Source organism: Homo sapiens, chromosome 1, assembly GCF_000001405.40.
Source record: "Homo sapiens chromosome 1, GRCh38.p14 Primary Assembly".
Classification (NCBI taxonomy): Eukaryota; Metazoa; Chordata; class Mammalia; order Primates; family Hominidae; genus Homo; species Homo sapiens.
In genome coordinates, this window is record NC_000001.11 from 150,989 (window position 1) to 163,685 (window position 12,697).

The following is a 12,697-nucleotide window of genomic DNA, read 5'->3' on the forward strand; positions in this document are numbered from 1 at the left end:
CCATTTTAGTCAGAGCAAAAGCCAAAGCCCCAGCAATAGCGTCCCAGGGCTTACACGATCTGTACCGATCCCAGCCCAGCAACTCCCTGGCCTCCTCGCTGACTTCGCTCCATCTCTTTGCTCCACTGGCCTCCTTCCAGAGCCTCAGACACACCAGAGAGTTTCCTCCTAATGCCTTTATCCTGTTGACTCAGCCTACAATGCTCTTCCCTCAGCACCTTGGCCAGCTCCATCACCTGCTTCAAACTTTTGCTCAATATTCACTTATGAGGCCAACCCTGACCACTCTACTTAACACTGCCATCTGTCCCCATTCCCACCATGCTCATTTCTTTCTTTCTTTTTGAAACAAGATCTTGCTTTATTGCCCAGGCTGGAGTACACTGGTGCAATCACAGCTCACAGCAACTTCAACCTCCCAGGCTTAAACAATCCTCCCGCCTCAGCCACCCTAGGAACTGAGACTACAGCTGCATGCCACAACACATGGCTTTTATTTTTTTTTTTTTGAGACGGAGTCTCGGTCGCCCAGGCTGAAGTGTAAGGGTGCGATCTTGGCTCACTGCAATGTCTGCCTTTTGGGTTCAAGTGATTCTCTGCCTCCCAAGTAGCTGGGATTACAGGCACCCACCACCACACCTGGCTAATGTTTGTATTTTTAGTAGAGATGGGGTTTCACCATCTTGGCTAGGCTGGTCTTGAACTTCTGACCTCGTGATCCACCCTCCTCGGCCTCCCAAAGTGCTGGGATTACAGGCGTGAGCCACTGCGCCTGGCCTTTAAAAAAATATTTTTTTTAGACATGAGGTCTCATTATGTTGCCCAGGCTGGTCTTAAGCTCCTGGGCTTAAGCGATCCTCCCACCTCAGCCTCCTAAAGTTCTGGGATTACAGGCGTGAGCAACTGTAACATGAGGTCCCAGCTTCGTGTTCATTTTTTGTTGTTGCTACAACAAAGTACCCTACATTTAGTGGCATCAAACACCACAAATCTACCATCTTACAGTTCTGGGGGCCAGAAGCCCAACTAGGTCTATTAAGGCTAAAGTCAAGGTGTCAGAGAGGCTGCATTCCTTCTGGGGGAGGCTCTAGACAGAATGTGCTCCTTTGCCTTTTCCAGCTTCTAGAAGCCACCCCCATTCCTTGACTTACCTCGTGACTCCATATTCAAGGCCAGAAGTGCAGCATCTTCAAATCTCCCTCTCTGACCTCTTCTTCCATTACCACATCACTTTCTCTAATTCTGACTCTCCTACCTCATTCTCTTATAAAGATCCTTGTGATTGGTGGGTATGGGGGCTCCCATCTGTAATCCCAACATTTTGGGAGGCCAAAGAGGAAGGATTGCTTGAGGCCAAGAGTTAGAGATCAGCCTGGGGAAAATAGGAAGATCCTGCCTTTACAAAATTAAAATCAGCTGGACATGGTGATGCATGCCTGTAGTTCCAGCTACTGGAGAGGCTAAGGTGGGAGGATTGCTTTAGCCTAGGAGGTCAAGGCTGCAGTGAGCTATGATCACATCACTGCACTCCAGCCTCAGTGGCAGAGTGAGACTCTGTCTCCGATATAAGAAAAGAAATATACATTTGGTCTCTGCCCGTGGTTCCTGGCATAGAGCTTCCAAAGCTCTTATAAAGCCCTTCGTGACAGAGGTAATAGGAGCATTTTCTGTTTTGATATTTAGTCTTAGTCCCAGGTTCCTGACACAAGGGCCTCTAAGGTCTTTCAGATCTGCAGCATGGTAAGAATGCATGTGGGATGCTGTTGAGCTAACGGGGTGGCTGCAAGCTCCGAGACTGCTTCAGGAGGAGGGCTAGCTGCCAGAGAAAGCAACCACATTTTTTTTTTAAAACAGAGTTTGGCTCTTGTAGCCCAGGCTGGAGTGCAATGGCACAATCTCAGCTTGCTACAACCTCCACCTCCCGGGTTCAAGCAATTCTCCTGCCTCGGCCTCCCGAGTAGCTGGAATTATAGGGGTGTGCCACAATGCCTAGCTAACTGTTGTTATTTTTAGTAGAAACGGGGTTTCACCATGTTGGTCAGGCTGGTCTCAAACTCTTGACCTCAAGTGGTCCATGTGCCTCAGCCTTCCAAACTGCTAGGATTACAGGAGTGAGCCACCGCACCTGGCCCCAACCACATTTTTTGAGGCTTGGAACTTTCAGCCTCACCTGCTGAACTCCAGGAGGCAAAAGGAACTGGAGATTGACTTAACTACCAATGGCCAGTGATTTTATCAATCATGCCTCCATAAACACCCAAACAGCAGGGTTTGGAGAGCTTCTGTGTTGCTAAACACAAGGAGGTCCTGGGAGGGTAGTGTGCCCAACAGAGGGCATGGAAGCTCTGTGCCCCTCCCCACTTACCTTGTCCTGTGCATCTCTTTCATTGGCTGTTCCTGAGATGGAGCCATTACATTGAGCCAGTAATAGAAAATAAGGTGGCCAGATGCACTGGCTCATGCCCGTAATCCCAGCACTTTGGGAGGCAGAGGTGGGCGGAATCACTTGAGCCTAGGAATTTGAGACCAACCTGGGCAACATAAGAAGACCCCATCTATACAAAAAATAAAAGAAATTAGCCAAATGTGGTGGTGGGAACCCTGTAATTCCAGCTACTTGAGAGGCTGAAGCAGGAGAATCACTTGAGCCCTGGACGTTGAGGCTTCAATAAGCTATGATTACACCACTGCACACCAGCTTGGACAACAGAGCGAGGCCCTGTCTCTTAAAAAGAAAAGAAAAAAAACTTGTTTTTCTAAGTTCTGTGAGTTGTTCTAGTAAATAATTAAACTCAACAAGAGGGTCATGGGAAACCCTGATTTCTAACTGGTTGGTCAAAATACAGGTGACAACCTAGGACTTGCAACTGGCATCTGAAGTGAGGGTGGTCTTGTGGGACTGAGCCCCTAACCTGTGGGTTCTGTGCTAACTCTAGGTAGTGTCAGAATGGAATTGTGGGATACGCGGTTGGCATCCAGAGAGTTGGAGAACTGGTGTAGAAACTCTGCACACACATTTGGTCAGAAGTCTGTGAGTAGAGAGAAACGTGTTGCAGGAAGTCAGGGACCCCAAACGGAGGGACTGGCTGAAGCCACAGCAGAAGAATATAAATTGTGAAGATTTCATGGACATTTATTAGTTCCCCAAATTAATACTTCTATAATTTCTTAGGCCTGTCATTACTGCAATCTCTGAACATAAATTGTGAAGATTTCATGGACACTTATCACTTCCCCAATCAATACCCTTGTGATTTTCTATGCCTGTCTTTAATCTCTTAATCCGGTCATCTTCGTAAGCTGAGGATGAATGTCCCCGCAGGACCCTGTGATAATTGCGTTAACTGCACAAGTTGTTTAAACAATATGAAACCTGGGCACCTTGAAAAAAGAACAGGATAACAGCAATTTCAGGGAACAAGGGAGATAACCTTAAACTCTGGCTGCCTGTGGGCCGGGTTGAACAGAGCCATATTTCTCTTCTTTCAAAAGCAAATAGGAGAAGTATTGCTGAATTCTTTTTCTCAGCAAAGAACATCCCTGAGAAAGAGAATGCATCCCTAAGGGGAGGCCTCTGAAATGGCCGCTTTGGGGACGGCTGTCTTTTACAGTCATAGATAAGGGATGAAATAAGCCCTGGGTTCGCGTGGCGCTCCCAGGCTTATCAGGACAAGGAAATTCCCGCCTAATAAATGTTGGTCAGATGGGTTGTCTGCTCTCAAACCCTTTCTCCTGATAAGATGTTATCAATGACAATGCGCGCCCGAAACTTCATTAGCAATTTTAATTTCGCCCCAGTCCTGTGGTCCTGTGATCTTGCCCTGCCTCCATTTGCCTTGTGATATTTTATTACCTTGTGAAGCATGTGATCTCTGTGACCCACACCCTATTCGTACACTCCCTCACCTTTTGAAAATCACTAATAAAAACTTGTTGGTTTTGCGGCTTGGGGGGCATCACGGAACCTGCCGACGTGTGATGTCTCCCCTGGACATCCAGCTTTAAAATTTCTCTCTTTTGTACTCTTTCCCTTTATTTCTCAGACTGGCTGACACTCAGGGAAAATAGAAAAGAACCTACATGAAATATCAGGGGTGAATTTCCCCCGATATCACACTGGCTCTTCTCTCACCTGTCTACCTGCTTAACTTAATAGGAGAGGCAATGCATGGTGCTCATGAACAAGGCAAGCATTAAAGTCAGACCAGACTAACATTTGACTCAGTCCTAATATTCAGGTGAGCTTGGGCAAATCGCTCATTAACCCCAAGTCTTCATCATTTTGTGCATATAATGGGGATAACTGTGGCACCCACCTGTTTTTGTGAGAATCAATGAAATATTATGCTTGATGTTATTGTGATCATGATACTATCTGACAAGGGCAGTGATGCATGATAACATCAAAAAATTAGAAACTGTAATGAGGTCTCTTGGGCAAAATTCCATACAGGCAAATTACTGTCTCTACAAAGCATTTCTGCCACACTTAATTCACCATACCCTGAACAAAATGTGCCATCTTCATTGTTCAGGTCTGTATAGTGCTGGTTTCCCTGCCTGGGCAGCTCACTCCATCCCATCCCAGCCCAATCCCCATCCCTCCACCTCCCCCTTCCCTCCCCACTCTCATACAACTCTTCCTTATCTTACAGGACTTGGCTTCAATGTCACCTTAACTGGAAGCTTCTCTCCCTCTCCAGAAGAGCTTCCGATTGCACTTGATGCATGCACTATTATTTGATCATTTTTGAGTTACAGTCCAAGTCTTTTTGTACCTGAATAACATGTTGCCCAGTCAGTTTCTCTTCCTGGATTCAGAAGTCTTTCATGGTAGGTCCAGCTAGAAGTGACAAAAAGACATTTAAAAAAAAAAAAAAAGAGGGATGACACAGACAGACATCAGCACTTAAAAGTTTTAAACGATATGTGAAAAACAAAATTTAAGGGCTTCTAGGAGAAATGTAGGAGGGAAGGTGTTACTGGGAAATATGATAGAAGGTTAATTTTTATTTTATTTTATTTTTAGAGAAAGGGTCTTGCTCTATCACCTAGGCTGGACTGCAGTGGTGCAATCACAGTTAACTGCAGCCTCAACCTCCAGGGCTTGAGCAATATTCCCATCTAATTTTTATTTTGTTTAAGAAATGCAGTCTTGCTCTTAGCAAAGCTAAAGTGCAATGGTGTGATCATAGCTTACTGCAGCCTCAACCTTCTAGACTCAAGTGATCCTCCAGTCTTAGCCTCCCCAGTAGCTCGGACTACAGGTGTGCACTGCAACGTGTAGCTCATTTTTTTTTTTTAATTTTTAGTAGAGACAAAGTGTCACTATGTTGACCAGGTTGGTGGTGATCTCCTACACTCAGGCAGTTCTCTCACCTCAGCCTTCCAAAATGCTGGGATTACAGGTGTGAGCTGCCACACCTGGCTGAGGGGGTTAATTTTTAATTATATAAAGAGCTCAAAGCAAATATTAGAAGGAGCCTAAATGCCTCCAGCAGTTGACTGGTACTGGTAAATTGTGATACATCCATATAATAAAATATTATGCAACCATGAAAAGGATTAAGATAGATCAATAGGTATTGGCACAAATGTCCACGAAATATGAAAATATGAAGTGATGTTCAATCACCATGTACGTATCTTGAAGGATATGGCCCATTTTCTCAACTGCAATTATTTCCTGAGATAAGATTATGGGTCTAAAGAGTGAAGGACATTTTTCACTTATTTAAAAGTATTTATCATTTTTATAATTTAATAAAAGATTAAACAGATCATTGAATTAGTAAAAGACAAAGTAACTCTATAAATAAATGGAAAAGACACAGATACCCCAGGCATGGTGGCTCATGCTTATAATACCAGTACTTTGGGAGGGGGTGGTGGGGGGATTGCTTGAGGCCAGGAGTTCCAGACCAGCCTAAGAAACAAAGCAAGACCTCCTCTCTAGTAAAAATAAAAAAATAAAAATAATTGGCCAGGCATAGTGGCATGTGCCTATAGTCCCAACTACTGAGGTGGAAGGATCACCTGAGCCTAGGAGGTCAAGGCTGCAGTGAGTTGAGACTGTGCCACTACACTGAAGCCTAGGAGACAGAGCGAGACTTCATCTCAAAAAAAAAAAAAAGGACAATAAAGAAATAAAGCTAATAAGCTAACATAAGGAAAGATAAAATATGTGACAAATAGGCTGGGCACATGGCTCACAGCTGTAATCAAGCACTTTGGGAGGCCAAGGCGGGTAGATCTTGAGATCAGGAGTTCGAGACCAGCCTGATCAACATGGTGAAACCACGTTTCTACTAAAAATACAAAAATTAACCAGGCATGGTGGCATATGCCTGTAATCCCAGCTAATAGGAGGTCTTTCATTTATCACACAGAAAATAACTTGTTAAATTATAATACCTGTGTGGGCGAAGGTGCAGTGAAATGGCCATTTTCTTGTAGTATTAGTGGTGTTTAAAATGTATATAAGCCTTCCAGCATAAAGCTTGGAAATTTTTTTTAAATCATACAGACAGTGACTCATTATACTGCCTCCTCCAACTCCTGGCCTCAAGCAATCCTCCCACCTCAGCCTCCCAAAGTGCTGGAATTACAGGCTGACAGCCACCATGCCTGAAAGCTTTGCAATTTACATCGAGGGTAATAAGAATGCTCATGCCCTGTGACTCACAGTAATCTCACTTCTGGAAATTTCACCTTTGGATATAATTCAACCTAAACAAAAGGTCATATGCACAAACACAGTGAAAATCTGGGAGTAATTTTTTTCTCTTTTTTTAAAAAAATATGGAATGCTTCACAAATTTGCATGTCATTCTTTCACAGAGGCCGTGCCAATCTCTCTATTGTTCCAACTTAAGTATGTGTGCTACTGAGGCAAGCATGAGTAATTTAAGATAGGGTGGTTAAGTGAAATAAGGAAGAATTATGGAGAATTTAAAAATCTATGCTATTTATAGGCACCTAGTAACAGCTCAGTAAATATTAGCTGCTACTATTATTATTTTTATGGTAATTTCACTCAATTAAAAACTGTCGTTAAAAATTGCCATTGTCATGGAACATAATGTCTCCTACTGTATAATTGTAGAAACAGATACAATTTGTCCCTTGGTATATGGGGGGATTAGTTCCAGCTCTCCCATTTCTGTGTATACCAAAATCCACGCATACTCAAGTTTTCAAAGTCAGTCCTGTGGAATCCACATATAACACAAATGGGAAAATTAGTGAGGTGTGGTGACAAGCACCTGTAGTCCCAGCTACTTGTGAGGCTGAGGCAGGAGGATTGCTTGAGCCCAGGAGGTTGAGGCTGCAGTGAGCCATAATTGCACCACTACACTCCAGTCTGGGCAACAGAGTGAGACAGAAGGTTGACTTTTTAATAGAATTTTTCTGTTCACTTGAAGATATGGTCAGGATTGTGGCATATGAAAATTCTTCATAAAATAACTATCTAATCCAATTAATGCTGGAATTGGGAACAGCAGAAGTGTCATCTCAGAGCTACTCGCAATGAAAGGTGATGTCTGGGGCTCAGGTGTGTTGAGGTCCCCATGCCTGGACTATGGGTGCTGAGTGGGATTTACTTGTCCATCCATTTTCTATATTCCAGCACTGGGAAACTAGGGACAGTACTTGTTCTCAAGGGAATCTTCAGCTTAGGTGGCTCTGTAAAAGAGAAATTACATCATTGAAAAATCGTCGCAGGTCAGGTGAGGTGGCTCATACCTATAATCCCAGCCCACTGGGAGACTAAGGCAGGAGGATTCCGTGAGGCCAGGAGTTCAAGACCAGCCTGAGCAACACAGTGAAACCTCATCTCTACAAAAAATTAGAAAATGAACTGGGTGCGGTAAAACATTCGTATAGTCCCAGCTACTCTGGAGGCTGAAATAGGAGGATCGCTTGAGCCCAGGAAGTGGAAGCTGCAGTGAGCTCTGATCTCACCACTGCACTCTAGCCTTGGTGACAGAGTGAGACCCTGTCTCAAGACACACACAAACACACACACACACACACACACACCCCCAATCTCACTCTGTCCAGCCTTGACTAATCAAAAGGGCCTTCTGGTTACAGAAGAGGTATGCTCTTTTGTAGGACAGGGAGAGACCAGCAAGCTTGTTCACAGACTTTTCCTCATCCTCTGCTTAGTTTTCCAAGAACCCTCACAGTGGAAATGGAGTCTCTGGGAAAATGACCTAAATCTTTGGGTTACCAGGGGAGAAATATGCCTCCTTTGTCAATTAATAAATGGAACATCTGCCTTAAAATCCAGGGAGTTCTGCTAGAATGAATCACTCCCTAAGACCCTGACCAATGCATGGAACATGAAAAACTGAAGTTTAACTGGGCGCGGTGGATCACGCCTGTAATCCCAGCACTTTGGGAGGCTGAGGCGGGCGGATCACCTGAGGTCAAAAGTTCTAGATCAGCCTGGCCAACATGGTGAAACCCCGTCTCTACTAAAAATACAAAAATTAGTTGGGCATGGTGGTGGACACCTGTAATCCCAGCTACTTGGGAGGCTGAGGCAGGAAAATCGCTTGAACCCGGAAGGCGGAGGTTGCAGTTACTTCTAGAAGAATTTCCATTAGCCCTTTGAAATCCTTCAACATTCATGAAGGCCAAAGAGTTTTCACCTAATTTAATCTGATGGGTATGTGACCAGAGTCTTTCTAGGGAATAGAGACTCCCAAACAGTTCGACTGGGAAGTGAGGAGAGAATTTATTACTCAAAACCAAAGGGAAATGAAAAGAGGCCAACATAGAATGTCATTATTCTTTCTTGGCGGGGAATGGATTCCAGAGTCATTCTGTGACCTTTACATGACCTCCTTATTAGCATCTAAAAGCTTCCAGTGTAGGATGCAGCCAGCTAGGTTCTCTTCTAATGTAATAAAATTTGCTTCGGCAAATCTTATGCAGAGCCATCTCCAGGCTCCAGAAACAATAGGCTATAAATTACTGGATCTCCCATTTGATACAATGAAGTATGAGCATGGTCCTGAATGACTCCTCTACATACTACTCTGGGTGGCTTGAAGTGAATTTGATACAAGAACTGGAGCGAGGGCAAAGCAGAGCTAGATCTAGGATTAATGTGCTTGGGCCCAGCTCCTCACTACTCACCTATGAGTCTAGTTCCAGAACCCAAGTAGAGGATGGGGAAACAAGGCTCCTGACTTTTTTTCCCTAATATCTGCATCTCTTTCACATTTCTTATCTCCTTGCAAAGAAACTAAACAGGCTCAACTGAAATAACTAAATGATTAAACCCTATACAGAGAATCTCCAAAGACTGACAAAATATCATTCAAGACTGTTACACAGACAACCTTGAGGATGACTTGATGTACCAGTGATCTACAATATTTGGGATCATTCCAAATTCCCATCAAGGATCTGCCTATATCAACAAAGGAGCCAAGGACCAACCATTCAAATGGGCCCTGCTGCCAAGCCTTTTTTTTTTTTTTTTAACAATGCCATCTCTTCATATTGTTCCATTTAACAAAACTGCAGCCCTTCATCTATCCTTAAGTCCCTTGGCCAGTGGTACAGAGCCAGAGTATGCTACTCCCTAGCAGGAAATCAACAGGATGACCTACTAAACACCATTCAGAAGATGCTAAGACCCATGAATTGCAACAGGAAAGAAAAGACAGAGAATTAGTCAGACAGGTACATGCTGTGCCAAAAGTGCACTACAGCCCCCACCCAATTCTGCCTAATCCTAGCTGGGCTGACACCAACCTGATGAGACAGGCCTATAAGATCTCAAACTAAAACAGAAACTCCTGAACTGGGTTCTTTCGAGCCCAGGAAGCAGCAGTAAATCATTAAAGAACAGATAAGTTCTTAAGGTGAGGGAGAGTTTCAGATAAATGGAATGCTGGTAGAACACAGGGCCCAAAGGAGCAAAAGTTAACCTAAGCCCAGGTAGAACCTTGTTTACTAGAGTATTAGGCATGGGTTTGGGCAACTATTCTAACCAGAGAAACTGGCTTCAGTGAGGGCAAGTTGGCAATCCAAGGTATAGCATGCATAGGGCTGGCAAAATTCAGGGTGACTGAAGCAAAAGCTTCATAACCAGAAAGACCACATCTGGGGGTAGAGCACAAAACTCTCAAGAGATGAATCTTTGTAAGAGTGAGGCAGAACTATATAGCAGTTTTAGGAGATCTGTTGGTGCCCAGCAAGAGCTCCAAACGGGCTATATGCAGGGATGCAGGCTGTAGTCTCAGGAGAGGAGGTTCACAAAAGTCATTCAGTCCAAGACCTCAAACTGTGTTCTCTACTAAAAGGAATCAAGGTTCCCTAGAGAAATGGCTGACTCCATGTATGGTGCAGTATATTGATCCTGGAACATCTGTTTTGCCAGAAAGCAAGGAAGCCATCAAAGTCCAACAGGATCACTTCAAAAAGACATGAAAGTCAACTTGAAGAGATAATTATTAACCTAGATGAGACAATCTAAGCATCCAAAACAATAAAGACTGCAATGGCCTGAAATACATCAAATGCAAACAATAATCTATGAGTTCATAATGGTATTCAGAAAAAAAAACTACTGGTCATTAGAGGGAAGGTTACTAGGTCACTAACTTACTACTCTGAAAAGTGACTTAAGATGAGAGGTAGGGTGGAAAATTAGCTATTTATTCAGTCTTTCCTGTACAAACATAAATTTTTAGGGAGATTGAAGCAGATGAAACAAATCTGGAAAAATGGAGGTAACTGCTTAATCTGCGGGTTGGGTGCATGGAGGTTCAACATATTTCTTTTGTGTATATTTGAACCCCCTACAAAAAAAGCACAAGAGAGAATGTGAGCCAAGCAGCTTAGGGTTTAGGCAAGGCTTCTGCCTACAAGAGACACTAGGATATGAGGGGTAGTTTTAGCCCTAATGGGCTGAGCCAACTGGAGGTATATAGGGAAGTGCTAAATTGCAGAGGTATCATGTTGCCCAGCACTTGATCAAATCCTAGATCCTAGGTCTGCTTGGTAGCATGCTTCCTAGGTAGTGGATCTGAGGCTACCTATAGAACTTCCTTTGCAGTCATAGTTCGCTCAGAAACTACAAAAGTGCTTGCTCTTGAAAATGGAGTCTTTGTCCATTTCATGCTTCTATAAAAGAATACCACAGACTGCATAATTTATAAAAAGGAAAAAAGGAAGGAAAGAAAAAAGGAAGGGAGGAGGGAAGGAGGGAAAAAGGGAAGGAGGGAAGGAAAGGAAGGAAGGGAAAGAAGGAAAGGAAGGAAGGGAAAGAGAGAAAGAGGGAAGGAGGAAGGGAGGGAAGGAGGGAGGGAGGGAGAGAGAGAGGGAGGGAGGGGAAGGGAAGAAAAGGGAAGAGAAGGGAAAGGAGGAAGAAAAGGAAAGGAAAGGAATAAATTTTATTTCTTAACAGTTCTGGATGTTAGGAAGTCCAAGGTTGAGGGGCCTGCATCTGGTAAAGGTCTTCTTGCTGCATCATCCCACTACAGAAGGCAGAAGGAAAAGAGAGTGCAAGAAAGCAAGAGGGCAAAAGGGGCTGAACTCTGTTTTATAATAAGCCCACTCTGTGATTACTAATCTATTACCACAATAACAACATTAACTCATTCATGAAGGCTATTTTATTAGGCCCCACATCCCAACTGTTGCATTGAGGATTGAGTTTCCAGCACATAAACTTTGGGGGACACATTTAAACCATAGCAGAGCACTTAGGTTAATTCAACTAAGAGGAGCTGGGAAAATCAAAGGCATGAGAAAGACAGCAAAAGCTAGCAGAGAGAAATGCATAGGTTAAGGAAAAAAGTCACAGTGAATCCTGTAGTGCAGGCTACTTTATGAAAAGCACCTAAAAAAGATCTCATTAACTCCCCCAGCTCACCTCCACGCACATCTAAAGAGCCACACACAGCACCACCAAAGGCAGCACAATGAGAACAGCATTCTCCTCAACAGACAAGCTGGGAGTATCTAGACACCCGACCTCAATAGCTCCAGAACAGCCCTAAAACATTTCCTCCCTAACCACCACTCAAGTCACCAGCTTGGAAAGTATTAAGAAAACCCAAATCCTGACACACCACTATGAAACAACTTAAAACAGCAAAGAACAACCCATTTAAACAGCAATGCCAGCTGTTGGGAAAAAAAGGAACAATGAGTAGAGGAGAAACAGACCTCTCGGGGTCCACCAAGACCCAGTCTCTCAGCTTCAGCACTTTTAAATGCAGAATCCATACCCCTCTGGGGCCTGTGGAGCTCCACAAGGCATGTCGTCCTCAAAGATAAATGAGCAGGCAAGCTGGCTAGAAAACCACTAAGGGTATTTATTCTTTAAAGAATCTTTACAGGGTCAAAGAAGAATGGGTCTTAACTGGCTATGTGAACTCCCCACAGATTCTGAGGATGATGTCAGTATCCCTTTCCAGATGTGTTTAACACTTTGCAGTCACTTGTATTCCTGCTACTGAGTGCCAGTGCTTTGCTAATTTGAACTGATTCCAGCTCACGCTGACCCCAGCTCCCTGGATGTTACCATTAGCCAAGACTGTCACCCATACTGTACCCTTTCAAAGAGTCCTAAAAACAGCTCTTCACCTACTCTTCCAAGACAAGTAAAAATGTCTGCCAAAGAAATGGGGAAAAAAGATTCAGAGAGTGAAAACAATTAATATACTAA

General features: G+C 43.8%; 1 long non-coding RNA gene and 1 pseudogene across 13 annotated transcripts in view; both read right to left on the minus strand.

Annotated features, from left to right (window-relative positions):
* The window catches only part of LOC124900384 (uncharacterized), a 54,398-nt gene that overhangs the window by 30,140 nt on the left and 11,561 nt on the right, over positions 1 to 12,697 (minus strand). For 3 of the 13 annotated variants that reach the window (XR_007065328.1, XR_007065322.1, XR_007065327.1), the window contains exons 7-8: positions 7,605 to 7,686; positions 4,779 to 4,843 (exon numbers count right to left, since the gene is read on the minus strand). The exons of 1 other annotated variant lie outside the window; for it this stretch is intronic. This is a non-coding gene — a long non-coding RNA (uncharacterized LOC124900384). 9 more of the 13 variants (XR_007065325.1, XR_007065324.1, XR_007065330.1 and 6 more) reach the window with 7 other exon arrangements.
* Positions 6,796 to 6,899, minus strand: RNU6-1100P (RNA, U6 small nuclear 1100, pseudogene; annotated as a pseudogene).